General features: G+C 38.1%; 1 annotated feature.

The window, feature by feature from the left end:
- Window positions 16,285–16,784: an enhancer, noted in NCBI's record as "H3K4me1 hESC enhancer chr10:91918903-91919402 (GRCh37/hg19 assembly coordinates)". NCBI's record gives its function as "activates a minimal SCP1, AML or CMV promoter by ChIP-STARR-seq in naive H9 embryonic stem cells {active_cell/tissue: H9 hESC(naive)}" and the evidence as "EXISTENCE:reporter gene assay evidence [ECO:0000049][PMID:30033119]".

Raw genomic sequence — 17,702 nt, forward strand, 5'->3', positions numbered from 1 at the left:
CATCAAAACTTGGAAAATGGGTCAGCGACTTGGGAGAAAATCTCAGAGACAAATGTGGATCACTCTTTTAAGACATGTGAGAAAAAGATAAGAAAAGTCCAGAATAGGCAAATATATATAGACAGAGAGCAGATAAGTGATTTCTTGGAACCAAAGGGTGAGGGTTGGGGGATAGGGGAGGTGAGGGTGGGGGAAAGAGAGAAATTTGGAATGACTACTAATGATTAAGGAGCTTCTTTTTTGGGTGATGAAATGTTCTAAAATTGATGTATTGGTTGCACAACTCTATAAAAGAACTAAAAACCACTGGGCTGTACACTTTAAATGGGTGTATTATATGACATGTGAATTATATCTCAATAAAACTATTTTTATAAGGAAATGTGAACTTACTATGATTATGATGGCTCAGGAGGTGGAAAAGAACGTTAGTGACTCTCAGGCAAAAAGTGGTTAGGAAGAATCGGGTTTGTATTGTGAAGAAACTTAGAAATATTTTGAATTTCACTTATATTTTTCAGTTTGTATGTATACATGATAAAAATGCTTAAATCAGTCTCTATCATTTGGGAGCCAAGAGGAAACTACGCATGTAGGAGAGAAACATAGAGGAAGTGCTGTGACCTGGGACTGGTAACAGCAAAGCCTTTGCCACTGCTAGGTGGGAGAGGGAAGATGCTACTAGCAGCCAGAGGGAGAGAGTTGTGAGACAAGGCCTAGGGTGGTAAGTATAAGAGGAGGAGGGCTAGAACTGGTGCATGTGGCCCCTTGGGCAGGGAGCTGGGGGAATAAATAGCCCCATCTCCTTTTCTCTCTCTCTCAGTCTCTAATCTCTTACTGAGGCTCTCCATTGGTCAAACTCAGCTGGAAGCCGGAAGTTAGAGTATATAATCCATTAGCTCTCAAACTTTTTGGTCATAGGACTCTTTTACACTCTTAAAAATTATTGAGAATCCCAAATGACTTTCGTTTTCTTCACTAATATCTACTGATATTTACCACACTGGAAATGAAACCTAAGAAATGAAAATAATTAATTCAATGAAAAATAATAGAAAACCCATATCATATTAATAAAAATGACATATCTCAACAAAAATAGCTACATATTTCAAAAATAGTGAGTAAAGTAGCATTGTTTCATATTTTTGAAAATCATCTTAATGTTCAGCTTAATTAAAAACAACTGGATTCTCACATTTTCTTCTGCATTCCAAATACTGTGATATATTGTTTTGGTTGAAGTGTATGAAGAACATCTGTCCACATACAGGCTTGTGGTTGGAGAAGTAAGGGGTATTTGAAGTACCTTTTTACATAAGTATGAATGTTCTTTTTTAATAATACACCACAACTTAACAAGTTGTTTCTTAAAGGTTGGGGCAGTGTGGAATCTGAAATTACATCACTGCGTTTTTTTTGTACTTGGTTACATTAAAATCCACTGGTCTATCTTGTATGTTGAATGTACCTTTTACTTGTGCATGATTTTCTAGCTTCATGCTTTGGTTATTTAACAAATATAGGTTTAGTGAATTATGCACATTTACCACATATTGACATATATGACAATATTAAAAATAACCACATTTGTTTCTATCACTACTGATCTCATCTGAAGAATCTTTAAGCTCTGGGAAGTTGTAACTTCATTGTAGCAGATAAAAGTTTTTTAAAAATCTGATGTCTACTTGAAAGCTCAAATTTTATCATTGGCAACAAATATTAATACCATCACTTTTTTTTCTTGAAGTGACAGGCTCACTTGCATTATTTTTGAGAAGATGTCTGTCAAATACCTAATTTTGAATACCACTGTTTGTCTGCTAGTCTTCTTTCCAAATGAGAAAAGTAGGTAGTTTAACTTGCAGCTCAAACATTCCTGTATGTGCTTTTCTGGGAGGCAACACTCATGCTTTGGTATGCAGCAGAAGTGCTTTATGCATGCTCCCCTTTTGATAAATCATTACTTCTGTTTAGAGATGGGGTCTTGCTGTATTGCCCAGGTTGAAGAGCAGTGACTATTCACAACCCATAATAGTGCACTTACAGCCTCCCAAACTCCTGAGATCAAGTGATCCTCCTGCCTCAGCCTTCTGAGGAGCTGGGACTACAGGTGCATGCTACTGTGCCTGGCTCATATCTCCATTTTGTAAGATGGAATATTAAAAAGAGGAACTCCAAGGTTTAAATGGAATAAAATTAATATTGTGTTTGCTGCTTTATCACAGACATCCTTAAATGAAAATTGATTTTTTAAATAATTGAGAGTGCTTGGTGAGTGAAAAACATAATGACTGCTAGCACAGTTTAGTTCCCCTGCCTTGATGCCTAAGGCAACAGTAGACAGGCGTTATTCAATTTTGCTTTTATACCATCAATGCAAATGCCATCACAGCAGAAAAGATGAATAATGTATTCATATTATTATAAAGATAGTTTTGACCTTGTGTACCTCCTGGAAAAGTCTGGTGGAGGCTCGAGGGTCTGAGGGCCACAGTTTAACTACAGAGGTAGCTCTTCTAAGGCAGCCTTCTGGGACAGAAAGCCATATGGAAAAAGATGGGGAGTAGATTTTGCAGGGACAGGTGAAAGGAAGTTATATAAAACAAAGCCTAAATAAGCACTTTACTGTAATATTTTAAAAGTTTATCTTATAAGAAATATATAGTATAGTATAATTGCAGCTTGTTTTTTCTTCTTTAGTTGTATATAAAATAATGTGCATTTTTGAATGGATTCTTTGAGTCTTAGATTCTATGATTTATGATAAGGAAAGAGAATCAGAAGAATCACATGGTGGAGAGGGCCTGATGCATCTCTTTCCATGATCGTGTGGAATTGCCACGGGGACCAGACAGGTTGGGGTCTTTGGGATTGAGTTTCTGCTCCCTAGGTGGAATATTGTGAATATGTATCTGAGAAAAACATGGTTTTCTAGGCTTCCATTGCTAATTAATCTCTTTTATGACAGACATTTTGTCTTTTAAATTTATGAATGCATAGATGGATAGGTGAATGAATAACTATTGATGGCCTAGAAACCACTGTGCCTTTTTCAAGGGCCTTTGCCTATCCACTCTTGTGGGATGATTTTGTCCCTTAATATTTATAGGGCAGGTTTACCTTTTTTATCTCCGAGCCTCTTTCACCCTTGGGGAGGAAGGATCATCTCACTGTCACCCTTGTACTCTTTGCCCTGTGTGCTTAAAGACTTAATGAAGAAATGGAACTGATCTGTGCATCCCAGTATCTTCAGACACTCTTCCACATTTGTCTGGCCAGCATTTCTACAGTTATGGCTCAAGAGGAAGGTTAGTGTCATCTGCAAACTGCAAGCACCTGGGTTTATATTTCCAAAAGAAATGTCAGCCTGAAAGCTATTCTTCACTTCAAGGGGATTAGAGCTTCAGCTGATATTGGACTCTCTTATTTGTTTCTATAAATTTTTAACAGCCTGAAATGGCATTAAACTCTGTGGAGAGCACCATATAATGCCACTAATCCTGTTGATCTTAACATTGCTTTACAGAGGTGAGAAGAACAATAAATCCTTTTATGTGTAAATCAGGAGAGATGTTAGCCATTTCTCTGCAAGGACATATCTTATTACTAGAGTTGGCTGAAACAAATCAGAGCTCAAGTATTAAATTTGAGATGCTCCATTTTTCTTTTCCCTGATAGTCCATTGATTCTCACCCTCCTCTGATTGTCCCATCTTCAAATAGTTGTATGTTTCCATCTGTGTGTCTGCCTGTCTGCCTGTCTGTCTGTTCTACCTCTCTCAATTTGCTAAACCTCAGGTTTTGGCCATCCTGCTATTTTAGGATATATTCCTGAAGAGTATTGTGACAGATATTTTTAGGGAACAGTGTAAGACTTGATTCTTGGTTTCTAAGAGCTTGCAGTCTCCTAGAAGGAATAAACCAAGTGGACATATAACAGAAACTTAAGGCTGTATTTAATAGACTATTGGTAAGGGTGAGTGAGGGCTTAGTGGCTGTGCTTGAATTCTGTGCTTGTCTCTCCCACTGACTACCTGTACAACCCCAGGCAAGTCCTTTGATCTCTCTGAACCTCGGTTCTTCATTTGCAATACAAATTAATTACATAGGGTTTTTGCGATGATTAAATGAAGCATAGACTATTTAGTACAATGCTATTTATTGCTATAATTAGTATTATAATTTGTGTTCAACGAGATGTATAAGCAATGACCAAAGTGGTCCTTATAATCTTTGTTAATGGTGGATTGGCTCCACTGCCAATAATAAAATGCATTAGGTTTGGGTTTTTATGCATGTACATTAGGATAGACTGCTTTCAGAAATAAAGCTAACCAAAGGCTCCTCAGCACTCACCAGCATTATACATATGGTAAAGTCATTTATTTTACACGAGTGATATGGCCATGATTAAAAAGAGATACTCCTGAAACTTCTTTCCTGTGGTAGAATATGTTGCAGTAAAACACCTGCACTGTTTCAAATAATTCCTATTCAAGTGTGTTGCCTTTCCAGAGCCGCAATTTATCCAGACCAAAGATAGTCATGGTCACTGCCCTGCATATGTCATCATGTTTGCTGTGTTTGGTCCCAAATACACCAAACTCACTCAGCTGTTTGCAGGTTTGGCCAGTATCTGTGCTTAATGTCTTCCCAATTTCTATTATAGAGGGTGATACCTACCACTTCCCCCTCTTGCTGCCCCTTCTCATTCCAGCAGAAACACCCATGACTCACTTGAGTTATGGAGGAAAAGGAATCACAGTCTTTAGAATTTAGGGTACCAGAAGAGGCCAATCTGCTTTAGGACTTTGGCAATCTGGAGTTCCCAGTGGAACAGGAGAGCAAAGGAGATAAGTGAAAGAGGCCTATAATCAGAACATCAAAGTGTCTTGTAGCCCAAGTTCTGATTTACTTCTTATGCTAGATGAATCACTGAGACTTCTGTGGCCTCAATCCACCCATCTGTATAGTAGATGTATTGCACTGTAAGGTTATTTTATTCACCACCTCACCCATTTAATATTATAAAGAGCCTACTCTGTATTATGCATTGTGTAGAATATGAGACACAGTTACACACACACCACACATATCATTGCTCAGAATGTGTTGAGAGCCACAAAAAGATAAAAAAAAAACGTGAGGGGCTGCAGTTGTTCTGCTGTGTTTCTTTAAGCTACTTCTTAGTTCTAGGCATTAGGGCCAAATCTGTGATTTGTCTCCTCAAGTTCATCCACATCTCATGGATCATCACTACGTTTCTGGGACTCTGTTGTCTCCTATAAAAAATGAGAGAAATTAATTGAATAGCTATTTCAAAGGATTTTTTTTTCAAGAGGGCAGATGGAGAAAGGTGAGGAAGATTAAGGGAGAAAATCCATCTGGATGAATCATTCTGTGGTCACATATCCATATCTTATTTGTCTCCTAAACTCATTGTGAGTTGGGCAATGAAGATATTCTTGTTCCTTTTTGAACTAGAAGAAAATGAAGACTCAGAGGCTGAATCATGTTCTGAAGGATAAATCAAGGTCCGGATGCTCAGTACAGTACTATCAGTACGATGCACAAAGGAATCTATGTTAATTCCTTAAACGCAAAACTCACCTTTGCCATGATTTTAACCTTCTTTACCAAATAAGCTTTGTCAGAATTAGCTAGTCACAAGCATTTTCTTCTCCTAACTTATAATGCATGTAGTAGAGAAGATAATGTATCGTGCTATCAGTTTTTTGGTGAAAAATTTTCATCCAAGTTGAGGTTGGAGTGCTTAGAATTAGCTCAACCAGAGGATGTTTCTTCTGCCAATAGGTGGCAGAGTGAGTAAGCTTGTCTGAGAATGAAAATGAAATCTGAAAGAAGGGCACTTGGATTGGGATCTCCTGTTGAATCAACCTACAATGATGATGTACCTACAGTGCAAAGCCCACCACAAAGCATGGAAGACTTGAAAAAGACACCATCTCTTTATCTTTTGCAGTTCGCATTTAGCAGATCCATAAAAGGCTTTTTCTTTTTATAACAAGAAACATTATGCAAATGGTTAGCAGAGCAAAAGAAACATAAAGAGCGAAATACAACTATGTTAAGTAAACTATACATTTCTTATCTCTTCTTGATATAATGCATTCCTTAGTCCTAACTCTAATATTGAGGAAACCAAACTGTGCTTATAAGGAACCACAAAGAAATCAAAAACAATAAAACCCCAAAACTCTGACTTAGACTCAGGGGCCCCAGCCTTCTCTAAAGGAATAAAGTGCCCTCTTCTTTTCCTGACTATCCACTGATACTGATAAATGCTAAAGAGTTTTCTCTGGAACAAGTTGTCTTTCTTCTATTCCTTGAATAACCAAAGGAAATTCAATTAAAACTATTTATAATTTTATATAAAGAAGAAATAACTTGTGAAATATATTTTTTACTTGTCTATTTGCCTACTGAATTATTAAAAGGAAAGAAATGGAAGATGAAAATACTGGTGAACTCTTATTCATCCTCCAAACCCAGCAAAATTGGGGTCTCCCTAGGGAAGATTCTTCTATCTCTTTGTTTATCCTTTCTTCTGGGCTTCTAAAGCACAGTGTACCTTTTGACATCACATACATTTATCAGGCTCTTTTAATAACTTTTAAAAAATCTTTATATTTTTCTCAACTGAGATCTTGGATGTCATGAAGATGTAATTAGTTATCTTGATTCTCAGTGCCAAATGCAGGAATCATATATTAAGTATTTATGAATAAATGATGTACAAATAGACAAATGGTTAAAAAGGAAGGATTGAGTAGTTTGTAAACTGCATCTTCATTTTTGGATGAATATGAAAGCAACTATGCAGAAATTATGAAATGACAGACAGCTTGGCGGCATCAGTTTTGTGACACATCAGCCATCACATATTTTAGAGCCATATCTGAGTTCATATCTGACCCTGCCACATTCTAGAAAATAATTGAACACCTTTGAGTTTGTTTACTCATAAAATGGGAAAAAATAGTCCTTTACAGAACTGTTACTAGCTTAAATTGCTAATAAAAAGCTTTATACAATGTGAATATACATAAGGTATGATGACTATTACTGTTATCTCTGTGACAAACCACTTTCTCTTTTAAGTGGTATTGAATATCTTTACCAAATTGCAGCCAAATTGGCAAACAAATCAAAAGTAGTTTTTGTTTGTAGTTGTGAGAAACAAAACAAGTTTTTTGTTTGTTCTCTTTTTTGTTCTTTTTTTTTTGATATCACCTTGGTTTTGCTACCAAAGAAGTAAAGACAATTTTGCAGATGAAAAATTGCTGATTCATTGAAGAAAAAAAATGGTTTGCATTTGTTATTTATTTTTATGATTTACTTTAATGGACAGTTTGTAAATGAAAAGGGCTTATTTTATTTTATTCTTATACTAAATTTTAGAAGGTATTTTTATAAAGACCCTGAATTGTGTTACCTCTCTGATAGGTCTTAGATACTTTTTTCCTCTGGAAGATTTATAAATTAATAATTTGATAGGCTATAATTTAAAGTATGACTTTAAGTTCAAATTGGGGCCTGTGAAATTTTGAGAGTGGAGAATCCATTTGGGTAAAGAGAAAACACTCAAAATACATTTGTGATTTGTAAAGTTGTTTACAGAATGATTCAAAAACTGCGTCTGGGTACTCAGAGATCCAAGTCTAAGTTAAATTGTCTGTGATACCCACGGCTGTGCTGTCTCCTTCTTTCAGTTCACTCCGGGGTCAGGTTAGCTGCATCCTTAGCCTTTGGCATGGAATGTGCTTTGATGAACAAATGTCTCATCAAACAGCCAAAATGGTAGAACTTGCGTACTTTGAGGTCAGACACCATGTCTTAACCATAATTAAAAGATCATGAAACAATAAAAAGTAGGTGACAAGATCACCTGCTGGATTCACCTCAATTCTTTAAAGTTACTTCTTTGAGGGCATGCAGCTTGCAAAGCCCATGCTTTAAAAATGCACTGTGATTTTCTCATCCCCCACCCCCTGTCTTAGCTGTATCCAAAGAAAATTTTTATCCTTATTTTTGTCTGTGGAGTGAGATTTTCTTTTCAAGTGCTTGGGAGCTTTCCATGGTGTCCTGTGGATGCTTCGAAATGAAGCCCTCTCTTTTTAAATCCTTTCCTTTTCTTAGACAGAATTGCCTCTTATAATGTCTTCTTTTTTACTCTCAAAAAAAAAAAATCAAAAGAAAGGAAGAAAAAGAAGCAGAAGGAATCCAGTTGGAGACTGCAGCCCAGGTATTACAGAGGACAACTGCTGTAATTGGTTGTTAAAAATGGCACTGCAGTCATTTTCTCCACTGATGGAAAATCGACTTTTCCTCTTAACGTTTTCTTCTGTGGCTAGGGAAATTAACAATTTAATTGATTTTAATGAAATGACCATTTAAACATGCTCAAGTACTAGCTTTAAAGAGAAACAAAAGCATTTTGAAGCATCTCTTCCTTAAACCAAATTCTTATGTAATTTGAATGGTGCAGTGTGTGAATGTTGATATTTAAATGCTAAATCATTCAGATTTGGTTCTCAGTATAATTTTTTCTAATCAAGAAATATTCCAAAGATTTAGCGTAACTTGTAGCCTATTGCGAGGACAATCGGAAGTGATTTTTTTTTTTGTTTTGTTTTGGTGTTTTTTGAGACAGAGTCTTGTTGTGTCATGCAGGCTGGAGTGCAGTGGCACAATCTCTGCACACATCAACCTTCACCTCCCGGTTTCAAGTGATTCTCCTACCTCAGCCTCCCAAGTAGCTGGGATTACAGGCATGTACCACCATGCCCGCCTAATTTTTGTATTTTTGGTAGAGACGGGATTTCACCATGTTGGCCAGACTGGTTTCAAACTCCTGGCCTCAAGTGATCCGCCTGCCTCAGCCTCCCAAAGTGCTGGGATTACAGGTGTGAGCCACCATACCCGGCCCATAATTGAAATATTCTAAACTGTGTTAAATCATTGAAAACTGATTGGGGGAAATCTGAAAAGGATTGTATGATAGCCATATGTAACTAGTCAGGGAAAAGAAAGGTTTCTAGGGAAATGAACGTTATTCTCAACCATATTCTTGGACCATCCAAGAATCCTTCAGTGGTTATTGGAATGTGTGGCAATATGAGTGACATAAATTAAGAGAAAAATGTTTCCATCAGTACAAATAACCACACTATGGGTACGAGCAGTCTCACACTTTGCAGATACCAAATTTCTGTAGGGAAATTTGGAACTGTTTTGACAAACTTAAAAAAGTTCCTATTCCTTGTCTCCTCAATTACATTCTAAAAATCTATCATAATAAAATTTAGGATGTGTACAAAGATTAACCTACAAGCATGTTCATTGTGGAAGTGTTTATTATTGAGATAAAGTGGAAAGAAATCCAGAAATCCAACAATAAGGTTAAATAAATCATAAATAATGTCTATGGTGCTATGTCATTAGGCTTGAAATTGCTGTCAAGTTAATGAAAACAGGTTATAAAATTATATAGAGTAGAATTCCTTCTCCCTTATTTTTACAATTAATGCATATGAAAACATCTAGACAGTACACTTTAAAAGGTTACTAATGGTTATCTAATTGGTTTTGGGATTATAGGTGCTCCCTTTTTATTGCTTTCTTCTTGATATTCTCTACTTTTTCTACAATGAACATGTGCTTATATAATAAAATTGCCCATTTGTCCACATATTATCATGTTGGGATAGCTCAGAGCCTCCCAGCCTTCCTGGGCATCACCAGAATCTTTGTTTTAGTAGGAATTAGTTTTCTTCAGAATATAAAGATTTTGTAGTTTTCAATATCTTAACACTTTCTGATTTTATAACATCTTACGTCTTAAAAACACATACTTCCTCAAAGTGCTATATGGTATGTGTTAATTTTTTAATTAAACTTTTTTAAAATTAAAAATGTATTTGAGTATCTTTTGTGATAGCTACTTAGATAATGGGGGAAATCCACAACTTAGAATTATTTCTTCTGAAATATTGTTTTATGATCTACTTCATAGATATGAATCACTTTGGTATGGACACTGGGTAGTGACTGTTAAAATTCTTTTCAGTAGGTTGGAACTGAGGAGCAAGTCAGAGTCAGAAAAGAAAATCTAGGGAACTCCAGTAAGAAAATAGCTCTCCCATCTTCTTCATCCCTGTACTAGCATCCTAAAGAACTCCAAAACATCCTTAATTTCTGTGAATGAGGCCAGTGGACTCTCCCTGCTTCCATTATGCATGCAATCCAATCATAATGATCTGGATCAAAGATTAAACAGCCATATGCTTCCGGCTATAATGGAAAACAAGTCGTATCATCCAACTTTCAGGTGTACCAATTTTACAATTTTCCAAAGAAATTTTCCAAAAGAAATTCTCACCCATTTGTATGCCTGATGTCCTGATTTTCGTGTCCAAGTTTCCTACTGTCATTGTGCCCTAATGCTTACCAACTTAACTACATCAGGGCTTACCCCCTTGTTACTAAACCTTCTTTGCCATTTTGCTCAGAGGGGAGCAAACCTGGAATTAAGGTGATTAAAGTCTGGAGAAACAATTTCTTTTTTTTTATTATTATTATACTTTAAGTTTTAGGGTACATGTGCACATTGTGCAGGTTAGTTACATATGTATACATGTGCCATGCTGGTGTGCTGCACCCACTAACTCGTCATTTAGCATTAGGTATATCTCCCAATGCTATCCCTCCCCACTCCCACCACCCCACAACAGTCCCCAGAGTGTGATGTTCCCCTTCCTGTGTCCATGTGATCTCATTGTTCAATTCCCACCTGTGAGTGAGAACATGTGGTGTTTGGTTTTTTGTTCTTGTGATAGTTTACTGAGAATGATGATTTCCAGTTTCATACATGTCCCTACAAAGGACATGAACTCATCATTTTTTATGGCTGCATAGTATTCCGTGGTGTATATATGCCACATTTACTTAATCCAGTCTATCATTGTTGGACATTTGGGTTGGTTCCAAGTCTTTGCTATTGTGAATAATGCCACAATAAACATACGTGTGCATGTGTCTTTATAGCAGCATGATTTATAGTCCTTTGGGTATATACCCAGTAATGGGAAGCCTGGGTCAAATGGTATTTCTAGTTCTAGATCCCTGAGGAATCACCACACTGACTTCCACAATGGTTGAACTAGTTTACAGTCCCACCAACAGTGTAAAAGTGTTCCTATTTCTCCACATCCTCTCTAGCACCTGTTGTTTCCTGACTTTTTAATGATTGCCATTCTAACTGGTGTGAGATGGTATCTCATTGTGGTTTTGATTTGCATTTCTCTGATGGCCAGTGATGATGAGCATTTTTACATGTGTTTTTTGGCTGCATAAATGTCTTCTTTTGAGAAGTGTCTGTTCATGTCGTTCACCCACTTTTTGATGGGCTTGTTTGCTTTTTTCTTGTAAATTTGTTTGAGTTCATTGTAGATTCTGGATATTAGCCCTTTGTCAGATGAGTAGGTTGTGAAAATTTTCTCCCATTTTGTAGGTTGCCTGTTCACTCTAATGGTAGTTTCTTTTGCTGTGCAGAAGCTCTTTAGTTTAATTAGATCCCATTTGTCAATTTTGGCTTTTGTTGCCATTGCTTTTGGTGTTTTAGACATGAAGTCCTTGCCCATGCCTATGTCCTGAATGGTAATGCCCAGGTTTTCTTCTAGGGTTTTTATGGTTTTAGGTCTAACGTTTAAGTCTTTAATCCATCTTGAATTGATTTTTGTATAAGGTGTAAGGAAGGGATCCAGTTTCAGCTTTCTACATATGGCTAGCCAGTTTTCCCAGCACCATTTATTAAATAGGGAATCCTTTCCCCATTGCTTGTTTTTCTCAGGTTTGTCAAAGATCAGATAGTTGTAGATATGCAGTGTTATTTCTGAGGGCTCTGTTCTGTTCCATTGATCTATATCTCTGTTTTGGTACCAGTACCATGCTGTTTTGGTGACTGTAGCCTTGTAGTATAGTTTGAAGTCAGGTAGTGTGATGCCTCCAGCTTTGTTCTTTTGGCTTAGGATTGACTTGGCGATGTGGGCTCTTTTTTGGTTCCATATGAACTTTAAAGTAGTTTTTTCCAATTCTGTGAAGAAAGGCATTGGTAGCTTGATGGGGATGGCATTGAATCTGTAAATTACCTTGGGCAGTATGGCCATTTTCATGATATTGATTCTTCCTACCCATGATCATGGAATGTTCTTCCATTTGTTTGTATTCTCTTTTATTTCATTGAACAGTGGTTTGTAGTTCTCCTTGAAGAGGTCTTTCACATCCCTTGTAAGTTGGATTCCTAGGTATTTTATTCTCTTTGAAGCAATTGTGAATGGGAGTTCACTCATGATTTGGCTCTCTGTCTGTTGTTGGTGTATAAGAATGCTTGTGATTTTTGTACATTGATTTTGAATCCTGAGACTTTGCTGAAGTTGCTTATCAGCTTAAGGAGATTTTGGGCTGAGACAATGGGGTTTTCTAGATATACAATCATGTCATCTGCAAACAGGGACAATTTGACTTCCTCTTTTCCTAATTGAGTACCCTTTATTTCCCTCTCCTGCCTAATTGCCCTGGCCAGAACTTCCAACACTATGTTGAATAGGAGTGGTGAGAGAGGGCATCCCTGTCTTGTGCCAGTTTTCAAAGGGAATACTTCCAGTTTTTGCCCATTCAGTATGATATTGGCTGTGGGTTTGTCATAGATAGCTCTTATTATTTTGAAATACGTCCCATGAATACCTAATTTATTGAGAGTTTTTAGCATGAAGCGTTGTTGAATTTTGTCAAAGGCCTTTTCTGCATCTATTGAGATAATCATGTGGTTTTTGTCTTTGGCTCTGTTTATATGCTGGATTACATTTATTGATTTGTGTATATTGAACCAGCCTTGCATCCCAGGGATGAAGCCCACTTGATCAAGGTGGATAAGCTTTTTGATGTGCTGCTGGATTCGTTTTGCCAGTATTTTATTGAGGATTTTTGCATCAATGTTCATCAAGGATATTGGTCTAAAATTCTCTTTTTTGGTTGTGTCTCTGCCTGGCTTTGGTATCAGAATGATGCTGGCCTCATAAAATGAGTTAGGGAGGATTCCCTCTTTTTCTATTGATTGGAATAGTTTCAGAAGGAATGGTACCAGTTCCTCCTTGTACCTCTGGTAGAATTCGGCTGTGAATCCATCTGGTCCTGGACTCTTTTTGGTTGGTAAGCTATTGATTATTGACACAATTTCAGAGCCTGTTATTGGTCTATTCAGAGATTCAACTTCTTCCTGGTTTAGTCTTGGGAGGGTGTATGTGTCGAGGAATTTATCCATTTCTTCTAGATTTTCTAGTTTATTTGTGTAGAGGTGTTTGTAGTATTCTCTGATGGTAGTTTATATTTCTGTGGGATCGGTGCTGATATCCCCTTTATCATTTTCTATTGCGTCTATTTGATTATTGTCTCTTTTTTTCTTCATTAGTCTTGCTAGCGGTCTATCTATTTTGTTGATCCTTTCAAAAAACCAGCTCCTGGATTCATTGATTTTTTTGAAGGGTTTTTTTGTGTCTCTATTTCCTTCAGTTCTGCTATGATTTTAGTTATTTCTTGCCTTCTGCTAGCTTTTGAATGTGTTTGCTCTTGATTCTCTAGTTCTTTTAATTGTGATGTTAGGGTGTCAATTTTGGATCTTTCCTGCTTTCTCTTGTGGGCATTTAGTGCTATAAATTTCCCTCTACACACTGCTTTGAAAGCGTCCCAGAGATTCTGGTATGTTGTGTCTTTGTTCTCGTTGGTTTCAAAGAACAACTTTATTTCTGCCTTCATTTCGTTATGTCCCCAGTAGGCATTCAGGAGCAGGTTGTTCAGTTTCCATGTAGTTGAGCGGTTTTGAGTGAGATTCTTAATCCTGAGTTCTAGTTTGATTGCACTGTGGTCTGAGAGATAGTTTGTTTTAATTTCTGTTCTTTTACATTTGCTGAGGAGAGCTTTACTTCCAAGTATGTGGTCAATTTTGGAATAGTTGTGGTGTGGTGCTGAAAAAAATGTATATTCTATTGATTTGGGGTGGAGAGTTCTGTAGATGTCTATTAGGTCTGCTTGGTGCAGAGCTGAGTTCAATTCCTGGGTATCCTTGTTGACTTTCTGTCTCATTGATCTGTCTAATGTTGACAGTGGGGTGTTAAAGTCTCCCATTATTAATGTGTGGGAGTCTAAGTCTCTGTGTAGGTCACTCAGGACTTGCTTTATGAATCTGGGTGCTCCTGTATTGGGTGCATATATATTTAGGATAGTTAGCTCTTCTTGTTGAATTGATCCCTTTACCATGAAGTAATGGCCTTCTTTGTCTCTTTCGATCTTTGTTGGTTTAAAGTCTGTTTTATCAGAGACTAGGATTGCAACCCCTGCCTTTTTTTGTTTTCCATTTGCTTGGTAGATCTTCCTCCATCCTTTTATTGTGAGCCTCTGTGTGTCTCCGCACGTGAGATGGGTTTCCTGAATACAGCACACTGATGGGTCTTGACTCTTTATCCAATTTGCCAGTCTGTGTCTTTTAATTGGAGCATTTAGTCCATTGACATTTAAAGTTAATGTGTTATGTGCGAATTTGATCCTGTCCTGATGATGTTAGCTGGTTATTTTGCTCGTTAGTTGATGCAGTTTCTTCCTAGTCTCAATGGTCTTTACATTTTGGCATGATTTTGCAGCGGCTGGTACCAGTTGTTCCTTTCCATGTTTAGTGCTTCCTTCAGGAGTTCTTTTAGGGCAGGCCTGGTGGTGACAAAATCTCTCAGCATTTGCTTGTCTGTAAAGTATTTTATTTCTCCTTCACTTATGAAGCTTAGTTTGGCTGGATATGAAATTCTGGATTGAAAATTCTTTTCTTTAAAAATGTTGAATATTGGCCCCCACTCTCTTCTGGCTTGTAGCATTTCTGCCGAGAGATCCACTGTTAGTCTGATGGGCTTCCCTTTGAGGGTAACCCGACCTTTCTCTCTGGCTGTCCTTAACATTTTTTCCTTCATTTCAACTTTGGTGAATCTGACAATTATGTGTCTTGTAGTTGCTCTTCTCGAGGAGTATCTTTGTGGCGTTCTCTGTATTTCCTGAATCTGAACGTTGGCCTGCCTTGCTAGATTGGGGAAGTTCTCCTGGATAATATCCTGCAGAGTGTTTTCCAACTTGGTTCAATTCTCCCCCTCACTTTCAGGTACACCAATCAGACGTAGATTTGGTCTTTTCACATAGTCCCATATTTCTTGGAGGCTTTGCTCATTTCTTTTTATTCTTCTTTCTCTAAACTTCCCTTCTCGCTTCATTTCATTCATTTCATCTTCCATTGCTGATACCCTTTCTTCCAGTTGATCGCATCAGCTCCTGAGGCTTCTGCATTCTTCACGTAGTTCTCGAGCCTTGGTTTTCAGCTCCATCAGCTCCTTTAAGCACTTCTCTGTATTGGTTATTCTAGTTATACATTCTTCTAAATTTTTTTCAAAGTTTTCAACTTCTTTGCCTTTGGTTTGAATGTCCTCCCGTAGCTCGGTGTAATTTGATCTTCTGAAGCCTTCTTCTCTCAGCTCGTCAAAGTCATTCTCCGTCCAGCTTTGTTCCGTTGCTGGTGAGGAACTGCGTTCCTTTGGAGGAGGAGAGGTGCTCTGCTTTTTAGAGTTTCCAGTTTTTCTGTTCTGTTTTTTCCCCATCTTTGTGGTTTTATCTACTTTTGGTCTTTGATGATGGTGATGTACAGATGGGTTTTTGGTGTGGATGTCCTTTCTGTTTGTTAGTTTTCCTTCTAACAGACAGGACCATCAGCTGCAGGTCTGTTGGAGTACCCTGCAGTGTGAGGTGTCAGTGTGCCCCTGCTTGGGGGTGCCTCCCAGTTAGGCTGCTCGGGGGTCAGGGGTCAGGGACCCACTTGAGGAGGCAGTCTGCCCGTTCTCAGATCTCCAGCTGCGTACTGGGAGAACCACTGCTCTCTTCAAAGCTGTCAGACAGGGACATTTAAGTCTGCAGAGGTTACTGCTGTCTTTTTGTTTGTCTGTGCCCTGCCCCCAGAGGTGGAGCCTACAGAGGCAGGCAGGCCTCCTTGAGCTGTGGTGGGCTCCACCCAGTTCGAGCTTCCAGGCTGCTTTGTTTACCTAAGCAAGCCTGGGCAATGGTGGGCGCCCCTCCCCGAGCCTCACTGCCGCCTTGCAGTTTGATCTCAGACTGCTGTGCTAGCAATCAGCGAGACTCCGCGGCCATAGGACCCTCTGAGACAGGTGCAGGATATAATCTCGTGGTGCGCCGTTTTTTAAGCCCGTCGGAAAAGCGCAGTATTCGGGTGGGAGTGACCCGATTTTCCAGGTGCCATCCGTCACCCCTTTCTTTGACTAGGAAAGGGAACTCCCTGACCCCTTGCGCTTCCCGAGTGAGGCAGTGCCTCACCCTGCTTTGCTCGCGCATGGTGCGTGCAGCCACTGACCTGCGCCCACTGTCTGGCACTCCCTAGTGAGATGATCCCGGTACCTCAGATGGAAATGCAGAAATCACCCGTCTTCTGCGTTGCTCACGCTGGGAGCTGTAGACCAGAGCTGTTCCTATTCGGCCATCTTGGCTCCTCCCCTCCTGGAGAAACAATTTCTATAGTGATTGGGTTAAGGCACCTTGCTTTTGTGTGAATTAAATTAGTAATTTATTTGTTGGGCCTAGTTTGTCCAGACTGTTGGTATAGTTCATGCCAAATGAATAAATTCAAGATCTTCATTTTATCAGAATCATGTATAGTTTGTATTACACAACCATTTTATTAATTTACTATTTGAATAGAAATATATTCACCTTAGGAGGCCCCAGAGAGTGAGTGCCTCCAAAATTCCCAATGCATTGCAGGTGAATTTCCCATGATAATTTCTGGACAAGACTAGCCCTCCCAAATCCCATCTCCCCACCCAGGAAAAGGTAGAGATTTCTTCTTTTGTGATACCACATTACATTGTAAAATCTTTATTGTTGCACTCGTGATAGTATATGCTGGCTATTTATTTGGTCTATTTTCTCTTAGTAGACTTTGAGCTCCCTGAAGTTCAGTACTCTGACTTATTCATCTTTCCATATCCAATATCTGCCATAAAATACCAATCAATGGATTAAACACATGGAATGAATGAGGAGATAACTAAGAATTCGATATTCTCCTTTTGAAGAAATGCTACAGGAGGAGATGTTCATTTACTGTCAAGAATAACCTTATGTCTTGACTAGTAGCAATAAAAAGCAAGAAAGGAAAGTAATGATATTTTATAGTGCCCATTTAATGATATTTAATGTTAGGAGAAAAGAAGGAATTTTCATTCTTTACTGTGTAAGTCAATTTCATAAAGTAGAGACTTTCCAGTTCTTTGACTACTAGGGCATTTCATGCATATGCAGTTACTGCTCAATCTCACCAGATAGCTTTTTTTTTTTTCAATAAAAGTGCAGCTAACTTCTGCAAAACGGTGATATCATTCTGCCACTTAGAAATCTTGCACTGTATCAGAGGTGCTGTAGCAAACACCAGCCAGCACATTGAAGCTTGTCTGGAGAAATGAGAAGTCTGTACAGCAGCAGATTTCCTTTCAAAATTGTAGTGTAATTGAATAAGCTTTTACTTGCTCAGACACTAGATAAAATATTGCTTGAATATATCATCACCCAGAAAAAAGTAGT

Source organism: Homo sapiens, chromosome 10 (assembly GCF_000001405.40).
Source record: "Homo sapiens chromosome 10, GRCh38.p14 Primary Assembly".
NCBI lineage: Eukaryota > Metazoa > Chordata > Mammalia > Primates > Hominidae > Homo > Homo sapiens.